Raw genomic sequence first — 23,464 nt, forward strand, 5'->3', positions numbered from 1 at the left:
TGCACTCCAGCCTGGGTGACAGAGCGAGACTCTGTCTCAAAAAAAGAAAAGAAAAGAAAAGTAAAAGACAGGAGGACAGGAGGTGGTTAATTCTGATATGGAGAGAGAAAGGCCTAGAGTAGTGATTTTTTTTTTTTAGAAACAGGGTCTTGCCAAGTTGCTCAAACTGATCTTGAACTTCTGGCTTCAAGTGACCCTCCCACTTTGGCCTCCCAAAGCACTGGGATTACAGGCATGAGCCACCATGCTTGGCAGATTTAAAATAGAATATCACATAGAAAATCCAATTTATAAAACAGACAAAAGCAGAGCTACTCAGGGTGAAGTTGGGGTGATGGGCATGGGGTCCCACTGGCTGAATCCTCCACTTGTCCTTGAGATCACTCCAGTGGCACACACTGTAATTGGGAGTGTTGAGCAGGAGCCCTTGCTTAACACCTGGTGCTCCCAAGCATCTCCAGGGGGCAGCCACAGCCTCGACGCTGGAGGAGTTGGGGTGCAGGGCACAGAAAAGGAGGGAGAGAATGCTATACAAAGGCAGACAGAGTTACCTACTCAGCAGCTTCATCGAGTCTCCCCACAACAGGCCTACATCCTCCGGTTACCCTAGAATGGGGTTGCAGCTTTAGCAATCGGTACTGGAAGGCCTATTAAAAATGTGGATCCAAGGGGGGCATGGTGGCATGTGCCTGTAGTCCCAGCTATTTGGGAGGCTGAGGCAGGAGGATTGCTTGAGCCCAGGAGTTCGATGTTATTGTATGCTATGACTGCACCTGTGAATAGCCACTGTACTCCAGCCTGGGCAACATAGCAACATAATAATAAAAATGTGGATTCAGAAACGGGTTAAACAAAGCTGTGGGCCAAGTGGATGTGAGCAATACTCCTGCTTTCTCGCTTAGTTTTTTTTTTTTTTTTGGTGGTGTGGCGGAGTGGGGAGCAGTTGCTCCCTAGGGTGAGTCTGCTGAAGCAGCACCTTCCACCTGTGGTCCCACCATGAATAAGCATCCCTGGCATGGTGAGAAGGCAGAGGCTAAAAGGAATTGGCCAGACATCTTCAGGTGGGCTCAGTGGCCAGGCAGGTAGAAACCTGACACCAGCTCAGAAGCTGAGCAGAGGAGGAATGCTGGAAGTGGCGGGCAAGAAGGCAAAGCGAGGACGGCGAGCAAAACTGCAGACCCAGCATCACAGGCAAGGGGCATTGGGCCTGACCAGGATTAGAGCCCAGAAACAGGAGACAGAACAAGGAGAGAGAGCTGGGGAGTTGGGAGAGGGGGCGGCTGAGAACAGCTCCCTCATGAAGCACTTGCCCCATTTTCCCATGCTCCCCACCCAAGCAGGCTCAGCAACAGGGCACATCTGACTAGGCAGAAACTGATCAGATACCGCAGGTAGGTACTTATTGGAGGCTCCAAGCTGGATAGGGGTATGTATGCCCAAGACTTTCACATAGCCAGGAGATGGGCAGTAGCTGACTCCCTGAGGCAGACGGCACAGTGTCAGGGATTTTGTTAAAGTCATGGAAACTGGGAGGATAGAATCATAATTCTAAGGTCACCTTAGAGTAAATTATGCTGGCATTCTGGAAACATCTGCTGCTGGTATTTCTATATTATTAAAGCCATTTACAAAAGCCCAGCATCTTTCTCAAGGAGATTCTTATTCCACATGTGTCTTCCCCTGATTCCTTTTCCACATGTGATGGCCTAGAGCTACTTCTCAAATTACCCTGAGGTAGCTGCTCCAGAGACATGTTTGCTGTGCCAAGGCTGAGCAGGAAATGGGTAACCCAGAGCAGAGGATCAGCAGCAAAAGCCATTTGTGCTCGAAGGAAACAAGAGCATTTGGAATTCCGGTGTGCTTGGGTGGAGGGGAAGAGGTCGTTATGTTGACCCAGACAGTCTTTGTCCCCTTTCTTCTGCAAAGGAGCAATGGGACCATCTCGGAAAATGTGTTGGATGAGAGAATCACTTGGCGAGGGGTTACTTCCCCTGCGTAAGCTGTGTGAGTACAGACACCGGGAAGGAGGTGGGGAGAGAGGCTCCTGAGGGGCCTAGAGGGGAACAGAACTCAAGGAAGAAAGAAGAGCAAATGAGCCAAAAATAGCTTTTCAACAGACCATTCGGAAGGACTGTAACCCTTACTCTGTAAGTGGTTGGAGTTCCTCCCTTTAACCGAGAATGGTTTTGCTATTACAAGTAATTGCCTCATGCTTGTGTTCTCAAATATTTAAAAAGTCAACTGAGTCAGGTATGCACGAGGGAGGATTTCCAGTTTCTTCCCTACATCTTCCGTAAGTGCCTGCCTGGCTGGTCAGGGGAGGGACCAGAGGCCTAGGCCTAGGTAGAATTCAGCTACTGCTCTGCAGGCTAAACTGGGGACTTCACCTAGACAAGATTTTCTCAGTTCCCTCTACTTAAGTCAACCAGATTTTCAGGGATGGCCTTACACATAGATGGACAGGGTGGCTGCCTGCGTGGTATGATTTGAGGGGATAAAGGTCAAAGGCACCATGCCCCAAAACTCAACTCTACTTGCCCTAGGCTGAGCCTGAAATCCTCACTTTGCTTACTCCTTTTGAAGGCCCAGGTTTAAATAAAATTGCAACTTGGGAAGGGGAGCACATTCAGTTACTACAAGCTGTTTACACCTCAGCTGGATTCATCATATCACATTCGCATTAGCAGAAAGTAAGGCCTCAAGGCCATGGTTAAGAGGCAGGAGATCAGGAAAGTTTTGGAACATGAGCTATCATCCTATAGTTGAGAGTCCTAAGCAGCGGCGGGGGGTAGCATGAAGAGCTTGTGCTAGAAGGGAGAAGGAGTGAGAAAAGGGAGTATGAAAAACAAAGCCTACACTGTTCACCATCTGTTTTCTGAGGGATGAGCTTGATTCCTCTATCCAAGCTGAAAGTGGTTCTGATTTGGCAGCTAGGTTTACAACAAGGGAGACACAATCTCCTCTCCAGACTGAGGCATTTATCCAGAATTCATACTAACCTCTTCCCTCGTAATACAGGGACTTTGTGCTGGTGAGGAGGAACCAGGTCTGGAGCCTGGGTGGGATTCACTTTCCCTACTCAACTTCAAGGCCTGGCATGACCCATCCCTTGCTTCCAGAGGAGGGGAATGGTGAAAACAGTCATTAGTTCTTTGTTATGGGTGGTGAGTTGGGGGGTGATCTGCCTCCTTGGCCAAGCTTCCTGCCCTGGAGACAAAGAACAAGGAAGGGAAGCACAAAGAGCTATGCCTGGAGGTGTGGACTTTCTCGTAGCCTGTCTCAAACAATGAGTGGGGCTCCCAAAGAAGGCTGGTTTTGATTTTTCAGCTGGAGTCCCTTTGCGTTGGAGAGGTTAGGAGCCACCTGGATGGATGAGAGCCCTAAAGATGGATCACTGCTGCCCAGTTTAGATTCCCCACGGACACCACTGGAGCCTAATGAGGTTGCCAAGGGAGCTGGTCCGGCAGCCTTGCAGAGGAGAAGGGGCAGGAAGAAAAGACTCTGTCCCAGGCTCAGCAAGAGATCCCATAGCCAAGATACGCACAGCAGGCCAGAATGTAAAAATCAATTCACAAAGACAGCAAGAATTAAGTCTAGACAGAACCCAACTGAGTGAATTTGTTGGTCTCTGTGGGCTGCAGGAACCAGAGAAGCCCCATCCACTCAGGTTGCCACTAGCTTCAGCCATGGTGACATGGCATCAGCTGCAAGCCTACTGTGGCTGGCTCAAGGGCCTGGGACTTGTCCCCTGGGCCTCTAAATGCCAGGCCAGGAGCAGTACAAGCCTCTCCTATCCTTCCCTTTACCTACTGCTTGGCCACTGACAGGGTGCACCTGGCTAGCTCAGCTCTGTTTTCTTAAGTGCTTGCTGAGCCAGAGAGGAGAGAGGAGGGAGGATGGACTCAGGGAAGGGAGGAAGGGCCAGGATGCTGGCCTCCTGAGGTAGCATAGATTCCCCATGAATACACTGCTGACTATGATAGGTAGCAGTGCTGCCTCTTCCAATTCTAGCACTTCTGGGAGTCATTTCTCAGCTCACACTTCCCTCCTGTGACAGATACATAAATCCTTGGCTGAAGAGGCTGCCGTGCCCCTTCCTGTTTCAGATGTGATTTTCCTCAGATGAATTGCGCCACCACTTTCAGACTCACATGGGTCAGACGATCAGACCAGGCATTGTGATACAGCCATCAGGTTATAGTTAGGAAGAAGAAGGGAACTATCGATTTCCTGGTAACTCCTTGGATCTGTCTCCCCAAGTCAAACTAGGTACCATTACGCAGACCCCTTAGGTCTTCATGGACAAATCCACAGCATCCACAACCATATGACATATTTCAAAGACACACAGAAATGACTTCAGTATGCTTGAAAATCAACTCCCAAGTATTTCTAGGTGGCTTTTCCATTTTGTGAAATAGCAGTGGCAATGCTTGGTCTCAGCTTAGCTTCTCCCTACATCCAGTTTCTTCTAGTTTCTGTATACTCCAGGGGTGCAAGCTTATTTTCATATCAGCCCAAATAATTAAGAAGGCAGATCTACTGAAAAAAGTTAGACCCATGGTGCAATTTCTTTCTTCCTTTTTTTTTTTTTTTTAAGACGGAGTCTTACTCTGTTGCCCAGGCTGGAGTGCAGTAGTGAGATCTTGGCTCACTGCAACCTCCGCCTCCCAGGTTCAAGTGATTCTCCTGTCTCAGCCTCCCGAGTAGCTGGGATTACAGAAGCGTGCCACCACGCCTAGCTAATTTTTTTTTGTATTTTTAGTAGAGACGGGGATTTCACTATGTTGGCCATGCTGGTCTCGAACTCTTGACCTCATGATCTTCCCACCTCGGCCTCTCAAATGCTGGGATTACAAGCGTGAGCCACCGCGCCTGGCCTATCATGGTGCAATTTCAAAGCTAGCTAGACATGATGTTTCTCCTACATTATCTCTTATTTTGGATTATCCATGCCACATGTCCTATGTTACCCTAGCCATGTGAAACTCAGCCATACTTGGATTTGGAATCCATTTGTGAGTGGGTAATTTATTTTTGAAAAAACTTTCTTTATGCACTACTTGGGCTGGTATCAAAGTGATCCTGCACCCCAGAGTTCCCAGAAACTAGCTAGAAGGTCGGTGGGGGGCAGCCTGGAATTTTGTGATTGCTATAGATAATCCACAAAATGGATAATGAATATAGGAATAATCAAAACTCTACCCAGATACAAGAATGGGGCTATGTGGGTAGGCAGCTAAGAGCAGAGGCTGCAATGAGTTGCTAGCACACAATTTAGTATCATTAAGGAACAAGCATGACCCTGGATGCTCTAAATAGGAAAGAAGCTTGTAGGAACTATGAAGTCGTCTTCCTTCTCTATTCCATGGTCATTGGCCACTAATGAAATCTTACACAGCTACAGTTTCCTGTAAAACAGCTAGCTTGGGGGTTAGGGCAGGTGATTGCGTCCTCTGCAGTTCAGTTAACCCATTTATGACAGAGATTGCAAATTTTTTTTCGTGAAAAATCAGACCTTGGCGATAACCTTGAGCAGTAGGATATAAATAACTCCCACAAGCTTAGCGTTCCAATAATGGAACACCAGGCCTAAATGGGTTAATTTTGCTCCTTTCCTAACCTGCTATCTTGCAAATGTGTGTCACTGATCAGAGGATGGATTTGGGTGACTGGCTAAGGGCAAAGGTTTTCATGCCACAATCTCAGCTGTTACAGAGGACAGAATGAAATCTCTGGTGGATAACTTGGACATTATCTAAAAGATGGAGAAATGAAAGTTCAAACTTTTTTCTTTAAAAAAATGGATTTAGCTAATTTGGAAAGTAAGACCGACAAGGGATGGGATAACTACAATTTAAGCATATTAAATTTATTAAGCATAGGAAAGCTGGAGGACAGAATTAGGAGGAATAATGTCAGAGAGCAGAAGTTGTTAAACACTGGAATGTATGAACAAAGGACTTTGTGGTATTTCCTTTCTTGGAGGTGTTTGAAGATCAACTGTCTCTGCTTGAGGCTTTTGCTAAAAACTGTTCAAGGGACTGGCCAACATAGGAAAGACACACAAGGCTCCTGAGGTGTAACCCAGACAGAAGGCAGGAGACCAGACCCAGAACCTTCATCGTCTTTCTGCTTCTCTCCAGGGCTTGCCTTCGTGAAATCCACAAGGTGAGCCCTAGGAGGAAGCAGGACTAATAATCATGTTTTGTATCACAGGGAATGGAAAGAAGTGGACCAAACATATTTACACGCAGCCTATCATAAACTCCTGGTAGAAGTGGGAACTCTCTTGTATAGTCTGATTTCGTACACATTTCCCACCAAATCTTATCCGAATCTGTCAGGAAATCAGAGCAAGTCCATGTGAAATTGCCACAGTGACATATTTCCTGTCCTTCTACTGTGACTTTGTGCATTCAGAGAAATATTATAACCTCTTGACTTGCTTCCTGGAAATACCTCCCTTAATTTGGGTTGAATAAAGCCCGTGAACAATGCCAAGAAGAAATCAATGGAGGCTGGTGAGGACAGACCCAGCAATTCTCCAGTGCCTATTTCCCCATGTCTGCCAGGAACGTGGTAGAGACAGTGCTTTCAACCAAGGGAAAGGCCTGCTGCTAATCTGGAGTGTTGAGTGTCATGGGGCAGAGCAGGACACTGGGGATATAAAAATAGCAGGTTGCTCTTACACTTGGAAGAAGGCTGTCAGAGGGGGACTTCAAGCTAGGTATACATGGAAAAGACCATCTCAAACCATACTGTACGGCTCCTGTTACATATCTTCTGGCCCCTCTTGTCACATGTCACACGTCTGCTAACACACAGTGTAGTAGCATGTTCTTGACTCCAGTTACTTGTCTACCGTTACTTGTCTACCACTATCAAGATTTTTTGCCATATCTGAGTATTGTTGTTTACTTAATATTTACTGTAAATTAACTTTAAGCAGATTCCCTTTTTAAGAAATGCCTCATCCTTAGAAATAATATTTTTTGAGACCATGGAGTGGATGTGTTAGCTGTATATTCCCCCAATACATGTTAAATAAATAAATAGCTATAAAAATAGAAAAACAAAGTTAGTCCACGTACCACCTAAAATCATCTTGCACACCACCAGTGTATGTTTACCACATTTGGGGAAACAGTGCTCTCTGTATAGTGCACACAGATGGTCCCCACCGCCAACAAGCACGGCTTTATTTCCTTCTCCAATGTAAAGCGGGCTGGGCTTTAGACTGCTGCAAATGGCCAGGATACAGTCCTGAGCCTGCCTCCCTCCCTCCTTCCTCTCAGGGCCAGGGCACCGGCCGTTATTATTTTTCTCCTTTCAGGTGACAGCCCCAGCCAAGGCTGGGGTTTGCAACAGAACACAAGGCCCTTATTCCTGGTCAAGTGTTCCTTCCCTCGAGCTATTTCCCTTGCCGAGAATTCCACACTGGACTTCACTCAAGTCGACCAGTGCCCTCTGTGGAGTGGACTTCCTCTGCTTTAGCCCCAGGGGCTGCATCAGCTGGAGTGCCCCATGCCCACATCAGTAACCTGCCTGTCCACGCAGAGCTCACATAGGCCCCTTGGAGCACGTGGTGCCCCCAGCTGGGAACTCAGTCTTCCCGGGGAAGCCAGGGGCCACTCCTCTCCTTCTAGAATCTGTTCCCCGGTGTTCAGGAGACAAAAGAGGCCTTCAGTGGGAACAAGAGAGGAGGGACCAAAGCATTCTGTGGGCAAGATGTGTGCTGATTTTGACTAAACAGACGGACAGTCTAACAATCAGGGCCAACCAACAAGGGAAGTGGCTTGTATGTAGATTGCCTTCGAGCTGAGGCAGCGTGTCCACCCTCTGGGAGTGCTTTAGAAGAGATTCTTGTAGCAGCTGGGAAGTTAACATCCTTCTGTGGCTTACAACATATTTTGTTGTTGTTGTTTAACAGATAATCATCCCTAATCCCTACCCCACTCCCCGGTCTAATGTGGGAGGTCACAGGGTCTCTGGATACAGAGTCCTTAAAGGAGTGGAACTGCTCTGAGGGAGGCAGGGCTGAGGCCAGGAGCTCCACCCACCCAGCCCACAGGTCTCCCCTGAACATCCATCACCCACTTGGAGATGCCTTCTAGTTAGGAGGAACTTAGCTTGAAAATTCTCTGGTGAGGAGATACAAGCCAGGTGATGAACAAAACACTACAAACTTTAAAAGAAACATATAGATTCTTATTTGCAACCTTGTTTCCAGATGTAGCCCATATTTGGTGAGGGCTGTGGCACAATCTACCTCTCCTCTTTCTTTTTGTCCTCCACACACTCTCCCCCTCCCCTTCCCTCCCTCATATTCACCCTTGCCTCTGCTCTCTTACCCCACACTCTCTTCCCTTTCCCCCTTTCCCCTCCCGTTCCCACAGCCCCTAAGGCGCCAAGGAGGACCCTAAGGGTTCTTTGAAAACCATTGTCCTGAGGGAATTCTAAGAGCCCCTCCTTTAGGAATCTATAATTGATTAAGATTAACTTCCAGCCTGGGCAACATGGTGAAACTCTGTCTCTACAAAAAATACACACAAAAAAATTAGCCAGGTGTTGTGATGCACAGTCCCAGCTACTGGGGAAGCTGCTTGAGCCCGGGAGGTGGAGGCTGCAGTGATCTGAGATTGCACCACTGCACTCCAGCCTGGGTGACAAAGCAAGACCCTGTCTCAAACAAACAAAACAACAACAAAAGATTAACTGAGTGGCCAGAAGTCACCCAAGAAATTATTGTTGAAAGAATGAACAGAGCCAAGAAGAAGGAGGGCTAGCAGGGAGGGAGGAGACTGTGCAGTAGTGAGCACACTAGGGCTGTGGGCAGGTGTCTGGACAGGTGGAGGGAGGTTCTTCGTCTACTCACTCTCACCATCACACTTTGCCCAGCAGTGTAGATACTGGTGGTTATGTGGTTGGCGGAGCACATTGTAGATGATCTGTGATATAGGGAGCCCTGAGATATCATGCCTGGCCTGGAAAGGCACTCTCTGGTTAATGGAACGTCACCTGTTATGGCTTAAGAGACTCTCACCATGTAATCCAGAGAGGGATGACTGATTTTGATGGAATTTTAATGCAGTGAAATGTACCAGATATCAACACCCACCAAGCAGATTGGCTTTTGGTAGCTCATCTGTGCATTATTTGGGGGAGAGTAGCTGTATATAGCAGCAGTCAGATTCTCAAAGGGACCTGCACTGAGTCATGCAACAGTGGGCCTGGTGAGAGTGGGGATTTACCAAGAAAGGAGGTTTTCAGAAAGAGGGCCAGACCAGTCTCTCTTTGTAGATTCGCTTTTTAGATCTGGACATCACTATCTGAAAATCCCTCACAATTCAATAGAGAATTTCTGCAAACACACACGTAAAGAACTCAAGAAATGCATTGTGCGTTCAGTGCTGGCATTTTGGGGCACATGGGATCACTGGGAGACATGTGGTTAAGGAGCTTATTAACAACTGCACATTAATGACACCTCCAAACACCCAGATTCTTGTTACTAATCCGTTCCAAGCCCATCATCCTTGATTTTTTTTTTTCTTTTTTTGAGATGGAGTCTCGCTCTGTCGCACAGGCTGGAGTGCAGTGGCGCAGTCTCGGCTCACTGCAACCTCCGCCTCCGGGGTTCAAGTGATTCTCTTGCCTCAGCCTCCCAAGTAGCTGGGATTACAGGTACAGGCCACCACGCCTGGCTAGTTGTTGCATTTTCTTTTTTAGTAGAGACAGGTTTCATCAAACTCCTGACTTCAGGTGGTCCACCCGCCTTGGCCTCCTAAAGTGCTGGGATTACAGACGTGAGCCACTGTGCCCGGCCCATCCTTGAGTTTTGAAAATCGACCTCAATGTTCTGTTCAGCTGGGACCCCCTCTTGGGGTCATGACTCTTATCCAGGTACTACCTTCTCATTCTCTTTTTTTTGTCTTATGTGAACTCCCTCTCCCTGCCCAATACCATTCTGACATTCTGGGGTTCAGTGACTTATTCATTCAAGTTTCCATGCATCCCATTCTCACATATCAAGACTTTAGAAACATAGTCTTCCAGAATATCTGCGTTGAAAGAGACCCTAGAGACCATCTTGTCTCTCCCCTCCCCCATTTTGTAAGTAGGCAAAGCAGCCCACAGAAGGGCAGGAGTTACTTACTCAAGCTCAAGCATCAGATTGGTGGCAAAGTCTGGACTCGAACCCAAATCTTCTGGATCCAAATCTGACCCACTTTCTACCACCTCGAGCTGTAGCTCCTCCAGGAACTGTGCCTCCTCCCCAAGCTCTGGGTCCTCCCCGAGTTGGGGTTCCTCCACGAGCTGGGGCTCCTCCAGCCTTTCCACCTTCATCTCACAGCTGCCCAAGCCTTGATTACCTGGCTGGGGATGCTTCTCTCCTTTCTTTTAGTACAGTGCACTCTCACGCTCTGGCTCTCTCCTCTCTTGCCTGCGTTCTCTCCCTTTCTCTGTAGCTGCCGGGCTAGGGTGGGACAACTGGAAACTCTAGGCTTAGAATAAAAAGTGCTCAAGGAGCCTCAGGGCCAGCCTGGGCTGGCTCGGCTGTGGGGGCGGGAGGAAATTCACGGTCCTGAGTGTCTTCAGGAGCTCCCAGGCCCTGAGGGAAGCCTGGAGCTCCTGGGGCAAGTGCTGCCCTCGGGATCTTCTGCCGAGACCGGGCCAGCTTCCTAAACTAACTCCCAGACTGAAGGGGAGGGCCGGATCCTCCGGGAGAGCCCAGACGGCGGCTCTGCCAGCCAGCCCCTGTGGTTGGAACTTTCAAAAAGACCAATGTTTCAGCAACTGATTTCTTTTCCAACCCGAACAGCAAGCCTTTCTGTCCCCCTTGCATGACTGTGGCTGTGGCATGCAGCCCCAGCCTGAGCAGAAGCAAGATTCCAGGGCTGGAGCTTCATAACACCCAAATCATTGGTCAATTCTATTAAACAAAATCAAATTTAAAAAAATCACCATTTTTGGCATCAGGTGTACCCAAAGCTGGTCTCCTGGCATGGAGATGTTGTGTACCTACTGGGATGGGATGCTGCACAGCCGTCTAGAGACGAGAAGTCGGAAGATCATTGGATCAGAAAATCAGGAGACATGGTTTCCCTTTGCAGCTGGTCACTAATTGGCTGTTTGGTTTGGGGCAGGTACCCACCCCACATTGGGCCTCAGTTTCCTCATCTGTAATGGGAAAGGGTCAGGCAGATGGCTGAGAAAACTCCTACCAGTTCTGAGCCTCTGTGTCTCCATCTAAGATGCACGTGGAGGTACAAGGTGTGGTCACCAACCCTGAAAAGGGAGGGGCTCAGGAGCTTGAAGAGAACGTCCCCAGGCCCATTGTCCTCTGAGATCTTCCCCAGTTGCTATCAATGCCAGTAGGGCAACTTCATGCTTTCTGTGGGTTTTGATCTCTGGTAAAAATTTCAAAGTTCTTCACAGTTCCCTGCTCTCCCCTCCCTGAAGAAGGGAAACCAGAAGTGTTCTCAGTCATTTATACCTGTGTGTGAATGAAGAAAGTTGAGAGAGCAAGCCTTGACAGGGAGAAAGCTTGCCAGGCTGGGTTTCAGGTGTCATCTGGCTCTGAGCAGAAAAGGGTATGTGAGTGACAGAGCAAGAAGAGGACTGGTGAGAGAAGGATTTTGTGAGAGAGGGAGGCAAGGCCAGCCAGATAAGGTTTTGTTCTGGTACCACATTTGACTTGGCTAATGCTAATAAAGAGACACTCAGTGCTTTCTAGGAGTGTCCTCTCACTTCACTTTCCCAACCACACCACCACCAATTTCTAGTGGTGGAAACTGAGGTCTAGAGAGATTGTCATTTGCCAAGGTGGTTGTCTATTAGACGCAAAGCGCCTGTGCTTCATGATCACATACTGGCTAATGTCCTCTGCTCCTTGGTGGCCTCTCCAGGGCCTTGTGAGGGCAGAGAAGCCCATCCTAGCTCCCCACAAGGGCTAGAACTTCCTGCCCCTCTGAAAGAGGGACAGGGAAAAACAGACTGGGACCCCATCTCTCTAGGATCCTGGCTCCCCAGGACTGGGCTCCTGCTCAAAGGCCCTGGGGCACACCTTGCAGCTAATACTAGAATATACCAGGAAAGCCTCCCACATTTAAAGAGGAGATGGAGGACATAGAATTTTGGAGACATGGCCACTGCTGGGGGTCAATTTCAAGTGCAATTTTCACGCATTAGTTCTTTCTTCTCTTCACTGACCTCCATCCTATACACCTGGCAAGTGATGAGCTCTTCACAGTCTTCCTGATCCTGATTTTCAGCTGATCCTATACACCTGGCAAGTGATGAGCTCTTCACAGTCTTCCTGATCCTGATTTTCAGCTGATGAGCCATTATGACCTTTGGAGAGTCACTCGCCTAAATCAAGCCTGCCTGATCTTGGCAGTGAGAAAATTTCCCTGCTCCTAATCTGACAGGGCTTCAGTGAGCTGGAGGAGCTTCAAAATCCACATCTTAGGGCATTAGCAGTGACTGGGTTCATTTTGCCTTTCTGCTACTGATTTTTGGGCAAGAATCACTCACAGCGGGGCACTTGCAGTGCCCCATGTCTTTACATAATGAATTTTCTTTTGTGGATTTTCTAATTCTGGGTGAAGTCCCGTTAGCCTGTGTTCTCCTGACTTCCTGCACTTTTCCTTCATTACCATCAATTGTAATGATGTTGCTATTTGTGTAATTACTATTTGATGCCTGTCTCCACCACCAAATTGTAAGTTTCCTGTGGCAGGGATCCTGCATGGTTTGTTGTTCGCCACTGTACCCCTTGTATTCAGTTTGTATCCCCTATATCTAATCTTGTTTGTGTGCATGAAGAGGAAAACATTCTCCTCTGCAACAAGTACTTGGGGTGGGCGGCCTTACTCCAATGCCCCCTGCAGAGGAGTGTGCTCTAAAATTGTTAAAATGTAGAAGATGGGGGGCCCCCTTGAGACTAATTTATCCAGGAGACAAGAGAGCTGAAGGATGATAGAAGGGGCCCTACCAGCTCCTCAGTCCATTCTCCCACACTATTCCAGTTACAGGAGAATGTATGCTAGTTTTACTGACTTATCTCCAATGGAAATTTCATTGACATTTTTATTATAAAAGTATTTTCATGAAAACACCTTCACCTTTCACACATACACTTTCTTTTTTCTTATAAGCACCTGGTCCTGACCCCTTTGCTTTCCCCACCTGTCTGTCCACTTCTGACCATGGTCCTTATAAAACCAGGACTCTCACACTTTTATCCAATTCTTTATCTCTACTGTCATCAGCTTCCCCATATGTATAAACTACATACAACATCCCTTGGTAATTTTGTCCACCTCCTCTGAATGCTTGTAGTCAGGAAGTTCTTTCTGCTATCTAATCTCAATTCTTCATGCTACAATGTAGGCCTGTTTCCTCTTGTTCTCTTCCCAGTGTGGTTGGGAAACAGCTAGTCACCATCTCTGAGTTGTGACTTTTCTTATATTTGCTTTAAAAAAAAAAAAACCTGCACATGTACTTTTTTTTTTTTTTTTTTTTTTTTTCTGAGATGGAGTCTTGCTCTTGTTGCCCAGGCTGGAGTGCAATGGCACGATCTCGGATCACTGCAACCTCCGCCTCCCCAGTTCAAGCAATTCTTCTGCCTCAGCCTCCTGAGTATCTGGGATTACAAGTGCCCACCACCACACCCAGCTAATTTTTGTATTTTTAGTAGAGACAGGGTTTCTCCATGTTGGCCAGGCTGGTCTCGAACTCTTGACCTCATGATCCACCAGCCTTGGCCTCCCGAAGTGCTGGGATTACAGGCGTGAGCCACTGCGCCCGACCTGTACTTTTCTTATATTTGAAGACTGACCTCTCTTCTTGCTCTCTACCACCTTCCACCCCACCCTTAAACTTCTTGTAGATCAATAATCTTAGTTCCTTTAGCTTTGCACCACAGGTCCCTAGAGTCTCATGTTTGCCTCCTGTTGGCTAAACAAGTCCTGTTGGCCTTTTCCTGACACTTCACAATCAGATTCCCTTGGATCACACTGGGCTGTTAGCTATCACCTGCCTTGCCATTGTGGAGGGCAGGTGATACCCACCATTTGAGAGACAGGCTACCTCTCTCAAATGAACACTCTTTGGGGCCCCTTGATCAGTTTATTTGTCCTTCCCAGAAGAAAGTCTAGCCTCCCTCCCCTTCTGCATTCAGGCTGTTTTTCAGCCTGGACAAATATCTGATATTTGCAGCCCAGAAAATTTACACCTTGGGCCCCAGAAAGGAGTGCAGCCTGAAGCTCTGTGCCCCACTGCCTCTGTACAATGAGAAGCATTCATAACTCAGAAGGAAGCCCGCAAAGGGAAAAGAAAACCCAGACAACCCCCCATTTCTTTTTCCTTTACAGTAAATAATTTACAAAAACAAATTTTCCTTCCCACAGGCTATACCCACTTTATCACTGGTCCCCAGGGCTAGCCTTTACACATTTCCTACTGTCATGGACTATTTTTAGCAAAGGATGACATTAAATACTAGTTACCCCATGAGCTTCAAACTCATCTCTTCCTCTTGTCAGAAAACTGTCAGTCCTCCCCTTTGGGACCTGCTGGCTACTCATGGCCTAGAGATACTTCCAGGGGTGTGAGAATTACCTACATGGTATGGCTTCAGTGGTTACTCAGAAAGTCTTCTATCTGAAAATATCACCTTTGGCCTGGGTCTGATTATTAGAATTTCAGTGCTAGAGACTCATTTCTTTAGCTCAAATATAACTTCTCCAGGAAGGCTTTTCTGACCTTTTGTTAGACTCTTTGACAGAAGTCTATTCCTTTTCTCTCTTGGCATCTAGTTTGTAACTATGCTTCATTAGCATGACTATCTGGTTAATGCCTGTCTCCCCCACTCCGTTGACTGTTCTATGACAGCTTTCGTGTGTTTCCCATTATATCCCCAGTACCTGCCACCAAGTCTGGCACATGAAAGTGTGCAATGAATATTTGTTATTGACTGAAGGTATTCATGAACTTAAACATGAATTCTCCAGAGTACTGGTGGGAAAGGATGTGGGCACAGGTGTGTCCAAGACACTAACTTGGGGAGAGGGTCCCAGAGAGTGAGGATGGAACGTTGACCATGAACAACACCTTTCTTCCCCAGTTTACCTGAGACTGCTTTCTTTTTCCACCCTGGTTCTGTCTCCCTTCCTGTCAGCTTGAGGCTTCTTACCTTTCTCAACCTTACCCTGAGGCTTTCATTTATAGGGTATCTGGGAAACAGGTTTGACCAAGGTGCAAACAAGGTTAAAATGCCACCCTGCAGGGCCATCAGCAACTTTTTTTTCCAGAGAGACTTGGGTGGATTATCTATATATTCTCGTGGTAGCACCTTGACACACCCCTGCTTCTGTTACCCACCTCAGAAGGGACCTCGTGGAGACTGAAGCCAGAGATGCACAGATAGGAAGCCACAGCCCCCAGGCTCCTCTGGTGCCCACCCTCGACTGCACCCCTTGGTTCTACCCTGCTCAACTCTTCTTGTTCTGCTGGGCTTTCTCCAGGATAAGAGGGAGGTGCCTCCCTACTCCCAGGCCCCGAAGGCCTCTGCCTCCCCAGGGCTAGCCTAGGTTCCCAAGGAGAGGGTGCTAGGGTCCAGTTTGCCCTGTGTCAGAGAGGGGCAATGAGGGGAGGGCCAGAGTGGGCCTTTCTCTCTTGTTCCTGAATCAATGGTGACTCCGGGTTCCAGCCCAGAAGGAATCAAAAGTGTCCCCACACCAGGCCATCCCCTTCCTACTCAAGAGCCCTGCTGGACTAGCGAGGTTCTCCTCCCCTCTCCCAATCTGAAAGCCCTGCTGCTTTCCATCGTGCCAAAGCCAACCCATTCTTTCAGGCCCTGCTGGAAGCGGCCGCCATAAAGAGACTCTCCCTTCCTAGTTTGCTTTGGCACCATCCAAGCTCCAGACCTGCAGACCCCAGGAGCAGTAAGCTTAAGGCCTTTCCCTTAAGGAGCAGGAGGCTGGACCAGGTTTGCAAAGGCCTGAGGTCACGCCAGTGCTTTGTTCCCCACTGGCCTTGGGTGCAGCTGCTCCACTCCTTCCTGCTATACCCTCAGCTCCTCAGAGCCCTGGTCCTAGACTCTGACGTCTCCTGTGTCCTCTACAGTGATTAGCAGGATAGGCATTCAATAAATCCTCAGTCGGTACTCAATACATAGCAGGCCCTTGGTCAATAAATGATGGATTGATTAATTGAAGTGCTTGGTCGCTTTGGTACAAGGCCGAATGAGGTGCTGCCATCATTCATTTCTCTGTGCACCTGGGCAGGCAGATTATGTTGCCTTAAAACTGAGCAGTTCTTTTTCTTATTATTTATTATTTCTTTGTTTTGTTTTCTTTGTTTCTTTTTCTTTTTTACTGCTACAGCCTATGAACCAAAAAGGCAGAGGGGATAGGGAGAAGAAAGGGGCTGGAAGCCTGGGAGGAGTCCCACAAAGGAAAATTCTGCATCTCCATCTCAGGTCCCCTAATTTTCACTGGATTCTGTGATCTGGGGGACTAAGGGTGCCAAGCTCTTCTGAGCCCTGAGATGGTAGTCTTGAGCTTGTCCAAGAACTTATGAGTCAGCTTTGGATACAAATCATGCCTGCTGGTAATTCCCACACCACCTTTTTGACTTTGTTTCCCTGTTTCTCCTCTATTTCTTGGAGTGGAGAGCAGTGTCCCCACCTACTCACAGCCTGTGAGCCATTTACTTGATGGCAACACACGTGAGACAGGCTGGGGAAAAGACAAAGGAAGAGAAGAAGAGGAGCTATTGGTTTAGTTACAAACCTTGAGCTAGTGGAATATTAGATTGATGGGGGTATTCTGTGCTGTAGATAGTCACATTTGTTATTAGAGAAATCTGTCATAGAATCTGGCAATACTGACTTCACTGGGGGCTCAGTTCCACTAAGCCGGTAATGTAATTTTCTGAATAGGCCAGGCAGAGAGCTAAGAATCACTGTGAATTCAGGTCAACCTGGGGACTTTGAGACTTCATGGAGCGTGGACTGGGAATTGGCTCTTGAAAGGCCTTCCTTTAAACAGCTCCTCCACCTTCCGGTAAACCCTTTCACCTGGTGTCAGTCAGCCTGGAGTTTCCGCCCCCCCCCCAACAACTCCCCCCACCCCAACCCACCCAGTAGTTTCTGAACCAACAAGCAGATACAAAAGGAAGAGGGACTTCTGCGACCTGTTCTGGGGCCTCTCCATGCACCACGCAGTTTCTTTAGCAGTGCATTATCAGGTGATAGTAGGTTCCTCCCTGCCACCTCCAAAATGCCTCAAGCCAAATTAAGTCCACTCCAGCTTGCCTGTCTGCTTACATTTACTGCTGAGTGTGGAGGCTGAGTGTGGGACCGGGTCAGGCTTTGCTGCCTGGCATTTGCCTCTGAGCAGACTGCTTGCCTGACACTGGGGAGAGTAGGCTTTTCCTTGGGAAGTATGATGAGCTTGACTTGGACCCCCAGCAGGCTTCCAAATGCCTGTCCCCAGGGAAGCCTACCACTGAGCAAGCAGAAGTGTGATGCCTCAGTAACCTGGCTGTTACATAAGATGTGCTAGTTATGAGTCAGGGCCCTCAGGCTGGCCTAGGCCCAGCCTAGTCTGGGAGTGAGGCTAAACGGCAGCGCTGAAGGAGGGGTGTCTTGGGAGTGGGGTAAGCCAGGAAGGAGCTGCTGGAGTCGCTTCCTTTCCTCTCACTTCTCACCCCCTTCTTCCTTAGGGATAGCTCTAGCCAATCACCAGCCTAGATAGCACGGAGCGGGAATCCTGGCCAGACCCCTAAGCTGTGAACAGCTGCTCTCCATCTCCCCTGAAGAGAAGATTAGAAGAAGTGGGTTGAATACTCAAGCCTATTCTGTGAGTAAAGTCTTCCTTCGAGGAAGGATGGGGAAGGTCCCTGTGTGCTCTGTCCATAGGCAGGGGCCCGATTTCTGGCTGGACCTATTTGAGGAAAGTGGCTCCCAGGAGAGGAAGGCCAATGGTGAGCCTGGATCATCAGTGATCCAGCCTGCTTCCAGCTCTTGTTTTCCCTCGGGCTAGTGTCTGCACAATGGGAAGCTTCCCATTCAGTCTTCTGTGCTGGCTGGGATCTTAATGCCTCTTATACAGTTTCCAGAAGGGCCACAGCTACTTTGGGGCAGGAATTTTCAGCTAGAAGGTACAAGTGAACTTGCCTTGCCTACTGATGAAATTCCCTCCTGCCTGGAATAGAATCGAGAAAAGCTTGCTTTCTGCTCTCACAGATCGCATCTTAGCCCCACTCCAACTCTAGTTAAGCTGGATTTCAGCATGGTAGACAGTGGCCTCCAAAAGACATTTTCCCTGACCTGACTCTTCATCAAACCTAGGTTGCCCTGAAACTGGGATCTAGCCTTCTGGCCTTCATGGGGCTCCTCCTAGCCCATGGGGTTCTGTGGAGGGCCTTTTCTGCCAAAGCTGTGGTGCTACAGCAATGCCCTAACCCTTGTCCCATTATTGCAGACTTTGGGACAGCACAGTATGTTCTGGGCCATTATTGTTCTCTTTATTTAAAAGGAAATTTCATCTTTCTGACCCCTGTGGTCATGGACTCCTCTCCCCTGAGTTCACTGAGCACACAAAATACCCCATCAAATGAACCCATGTTTTAGTCTCAACTTAGCACATTGGTTTCTCCAGGGTTCAAGAGGCTATTGCACGATACCAACCAATTTGTTATATAAGCCCAGCCAGCCATGGCAGATTATGGCTTTACAGTTATCTCTAGGGATGGCTTACATAAGAAGAAGAGAAAGTTCAGGTAGGAGCAGAATCACGATGAGCAAACAGCGCAACAGCCACCACCAGGTGCAGACATGGCCAAACTCATTCCTCCCAACCAACCCACCCACCAGGTGGGGGCAAGAACTCTGCAGGGTTCCATCACCCGGGATGCCTAGAGGTCTTGGCAGTCTTGGCCAGATACATCCATCTCCATTTTACCCAGACTCCCTGGCCTTCAGTACCTGATCTGGAAAGGAGCCAACCCTCTACCTGGAATGGAGAGCTTGTTGGATTATCTGCAAGTGCAAATATAAGCAGGAGTGTTAACCTTCTCTTCAGGCAGGGAAGAAAACTAAGGTCACCCTGGAAAGCATTATTTGCTGAGGTGTGGACTCAGTAAATAATAGTCCACTCCTGGCAAAAACTGAGGAGTAGATGAAATTCAAGCTCTGTGCTTCCCACCTTTCTTTAAGAGCATGAACTTTCCAAACAGATCTTTTGAACTCTCATGCTGTCCAGGCCCCGTGCTGTAACAGCCCAAGCTAGGCCTTCCATGGACTCCAGCCCCATCTCTCTACCTCTCTCCTCCAAAGTTGGCTTTGCCACATTCCAGTCCCATAGGACCCTATTCCCAGTGGGCTGTCACCATGACCAGAGGTCTGATAAACAAATCCATACAAAGTAGTTAATGGCAAGTAATGGTGTCACATGTTACTCTTTAAAAAGGTATGCTAGACCTTGGCCATTCATGAGAGATACACACTAAAACTTTTGCCAGTCTCCAACTCATGGATGCAATCTCCAAAGCATGTCATTTCCCCCATAAAAAGTCCATTCCCAGGCAGCACCATCACTTTGCCAAACTTTGTAGCTTTCTCTTCGTTGTAATCACTAGCACCAGCAGCTGGCTTAGAGAGGGAGCATTCTCCTCAAGGAATGCCCTGAGACATTTGCTCATTTTATGACAGGTTCCTACGTATGTGTTGACTACGAGCAGTAGACCACAAAATTGTGTTGAAAAGTAGGTGCTGGGCAATGCCACTCCTAGGTATATACCCCAAAGAATTAAAAGCAGGGACTTGAACAGATACTTGTACACCAGTGTTCATAGCAGCATTCTTCATAATAGCCAAAAGAGGGCAACAACCTAAGTGTCCACTGACAGATGAATGGATAAGCAAAAGAGGTATATCCATACAATGGAATTTTATTCAGCCATAAAAAGAATGAAGTACTGATATGTGCTACAACATGGATGAACTTTAAAACATGTTGAGTGAAAGAAATCAGACACAAAATATTGTATGATTCAATTTATATGAAATATCTAAATAGGCAAATCCATAGAGACAGAAAGTAGAATAGAGGTTACCAGGGGGTAGTGGGAGGGGAAAATAGGGAAACGGTGAGTTATTCTTTAATGGGTACAGAGTTTTTGTTTGGGATGATGACAAAATTTTGGGAATGATAATGGTTGCACAACATTGTTAATATACCTAATGCTACTGAATCGTACACTTAGAAATGGTTAAAATGGCAAATTTTATATCTATTTTACCACTATATATATATATGTACTATGTACAATATATGCATATAATACATCTCTCTCTTTCTCTTTCACACACACACACACACACACACACACACACTAGTAGATGTGGGGTAGGGCACCAGGCTCACTCATTGGTGAAAGGACCGGCCCCCACCTACTAGTCTCCTTGCACATGTGATTCACATCTGTGCCTCAGCAAAAACACAGTTTCTTACCAGTCTGAGTTCTCATGAAGTATCCAAACCATGAATGTTAAGTTTGCAAATGCATTTGTGCTTTTAATGGAGAAGGTCCCTTAATCCAAGAATGCCTATTCTTTGTCAGACCACTAGGCACTCAGGAAATAGTTATTTTAAATTACTTTGGGCTATGAAAGGACTTTTGAAGCTTGATACCAAAAGCAAAAATCACAAAGGCAAAGAATGACAGGCTTAACCACACAGAAACCCAAAACCGCTCTACAGCGAGTAACTCCATCCTCAAAATCAAATGGTAAATTAGTTGACAATGCGTTGCAATCTCTAATACAGGGTTTCTCACAGTGTGGTCTACATACCAGCGGTGCTCTGGGAGAGGAATTTTAGATGGTACATGGACAGAGAACTGAATCTTAAATAGTATGAACTTAGGCACTGCAGCAGGCAGCCACTCAAATCATGCCGTGTGAGTGGCCACCACCTCAGAAGCCAGGTCCAGGAATATACATTATGAAATTACTTGTTCTGAGACTCACTTAGAGAAGCACAAATAATTTTTTGCACAAATTTTTCTTGAAAACCTGATCTCTGAATCTATATCCTTCCCCTTTGTTACTATATTAATAGGGGATATTAAATGAATTAGCACACATAAAGCAATTAGAAATGTTTGCTATTTTTATCATTTTCTGAGCATTTATATATGGGAACCAGTTGGGGCCAGGTCAGAAGCTTAAAGGTAGAATCCTAGGGTTTTTAGAGCTGGAAGGGAAATCGGATTCAGAGTATTTCAGACCACACTAGCCAGGTACGCTCTGGGGTCAAAGGTAGAATAGAGCTGATTAAGAGGTTTTGGGTAAAATCTTAGAAAAAAATTTGAGGTTACAGCAACAGCAATCACAACGAATACTGTCAAAGCTCCTGTTACAGGTTGTTATACCTTACAGGTCAGAAAAATTAAGGAAGGCTCTTCAAATGTCAACTTGGGAAGCTTTTTCATATGCTACATTTAAATTGGAAACTTCTGCTGTTTGCCCAGAATATTCTATCTCCCTCCTAAGTTTTCCAGTATTAGAAGCATATTCAAATGACAAGGGGGAAGTCCCCTAACAACAGGGTGACCAACCATCCCAGTTTCCCTAGGACTGTTCCAGTTTGAGCACAGGCAGTCCTATGTCACAGGACTGGGATGGTTGGTTTCCCTACCTAATAAGGACATTTTGACCATTTGGAAAGGTTCTGAGCTCACATTTACCTCTGCTTCATAGACAATTCTTAAGTGTTACAAGAATTTCTTTAGCATTAGTTTAGTTACTGAGTGTTCTTAACAATTCTTTCTTCATAGACAATTCAGGCTCTGCTCTTCATTGTGAGGCATTGGGCAAGATACTTAATTTTTTCCAAGCCTCAATTTCCTTCTTTATAAAATGAAAATGGATGATAATAGTACCCATTTGGTCGGGCGCAGTGGCTCATGCCTGTAATCCCAGCACCTTGGGAGGCCGAGGCTGGTGGATCATTTGAGATCAGGAGATCGAGACCAGCCTGACTAATATGGTGAAACCCCATCTCTACGAAAAATACAAAAATTAGCCGAGTGTGGTGGCGTGCGCCTGTAGTCCCAGCTACTGAGGAGGCTGAGACAGGGGAATTGCTTGAACCCAGGAGGTGGAGACTGCAGTGAGCTGAGATCGTGCCACTGCACTCCAGCCTGGGCGACAGAACAAGACTCCGTCTCAAAATAAATAAATAAATAAACAAATAAATAAATAAATCCATTCCAAAGAGTTGATGTAAATATTAAATTAGATTATGCAGGTACATTGTGAATGTTCAAGAAGTGTTAGTTATTAATCTGTTATGGTTATTAGTTACATAATACAAGATTGAAAGGATGGTGTTTAAAATACACTTCTTCCCCAACCCAATTGTTTACAGGTACCATTTACATACCAACAGGCTGCATGCCCATTCTCACTGATTCGTATGTATATACACAGCACTATCAGGACTTCCATCAGGCTATGAGAGTTACTGCATGTGGTTAAAACGGAAGGAAAACAACTTTTAAACATTAATAAGGATTTTCTAGCACAGTATAAAGTTGTAAAATCTTTACAAGGGACCACGTCAATATTTAAGTAGTCATCCAACTGAAGAAACCTTTATTGAATATTGGCTGTATAACTAAAAGCCAAGGGAAAACCAAGCAAGTAAAACACAGCCCTACCCTCAAATTGCTTATACTCTTGTGTTCCAAGGAAACCAAGAACGAAGCTGGGAGCCAGGGACAGGTCAAAGCAGACAAACCAGATGTAAATCAAGAATGTGCCCTGCTCTTCTTCCTAAAAATATAGGAGCCCTCTTGGCAAAGGAATGGACTGCAGGAGGAGGGGTGGGAGACTAGCTTCTCCAGCAGGAGAGGCCTTGAAAGTTGACAAAGGAAAAAAGCACCCAACAGGAACCTGAAATGTCAAATCATTAAATTGAATAGAAGTAAAAACGATGGCTGAAGTATGATGATAGAAACCCAGGGAATTTAATGAAGTAACAAGGGATATGTTCACTTAGGAGAAGGCTGTCTACCCCAGATATTGGAGAAGCCCCATGACCAGCAATAATGGTCTTCTAGTTTGCTAATGAGCATGTCATACTGGGCAAAACCTAAACCGAATTCAGAATCCCCAGTCTCTAAGGTCCCAATTGTCAAGGAAAACAAGAGGGGATCAGTGGCTCATGCCTGTGATCCTGGCACTTTGGGAGGCTGAGGTGGGCAGGTCGCTTAAGCCCAGGAGTTTGAGACCAGCCTGCACAACATGGCAAGATCCCGTCCCTATAAAAAAAAAATACAAAAATTAGCTGGGCATGGTGGTGTGTGCCTGTAGTCCCAGCTACTTGGGAGGCTGAAGTGGGAGGATCGATGGAGCCCAGGAGTTTGAGGCTGCAGTGAGCTG

At 46.9% G+C, this 23,464-nt stretch overlaps 1 protein-coding gene across 3 annotated transcripts in view, besides 2 other annotated features; it reads right to left on the bottom strand.

The window, feature by feature from the left end:
- Positions 1 to 23,464, bottom strand: part of TSC22D3 (TSC22 domain family member 3) — a 62,768-nt gene that overhangs the window by 36,116 nt on the left and 3,188 nt on the right. The window lies entirely within an intron of this gene.
- Positions 106 to 958: an enhancer, noted in NCBI's record as "H3K27ac-H3K4me1 hESC enhancer chrX:106992672-106993524 (GRCh37/hg19 assembly coordinates)". NCBI's record gives its function as "activates a minimal SCP1, AML or CMV promoter by ChIP-STARR-seq in naive H9 embryonic stem cells {active_cell/tissue: H9 hESC(naive)}" and the evidence as "EXISTENCE:reporter gene assay evidence [ECO:0000049][PMID:30033119]".
- Positions 959 to 1,810: an enhancer, noted in NCBI's record as "H3K27ac-H3K4me1 hESC enhancer chrX:106993525-106994376 (GRCh37/hg19 assembly coordinates)". NCBI's record gives its function as "activates a minimal SCP1, AML or CMV promoter by ChIP-STARR-seq in naive and primed H9 embryonic stem cells {active_cell/tissue: H9 hESC(naive and primed)}" and the evidence as "EXISTENCE:reporter gene assay evidence [ECO:0000049][PMID:30033119]".

The sequence above is a fragment of the Homo sapiens genome, chromosome X (assembly GCF_000001405.40).
Source record: "Homo sapiens chromosome X, GRCh38.p14 Primary Assembly".
Taxonomy (NCBI): domain Eukaryota; kingdom Metazoa; phylum Chordata; class Mammalia; order Primates; family Hominidae; genus Homo; species Homo sapiens.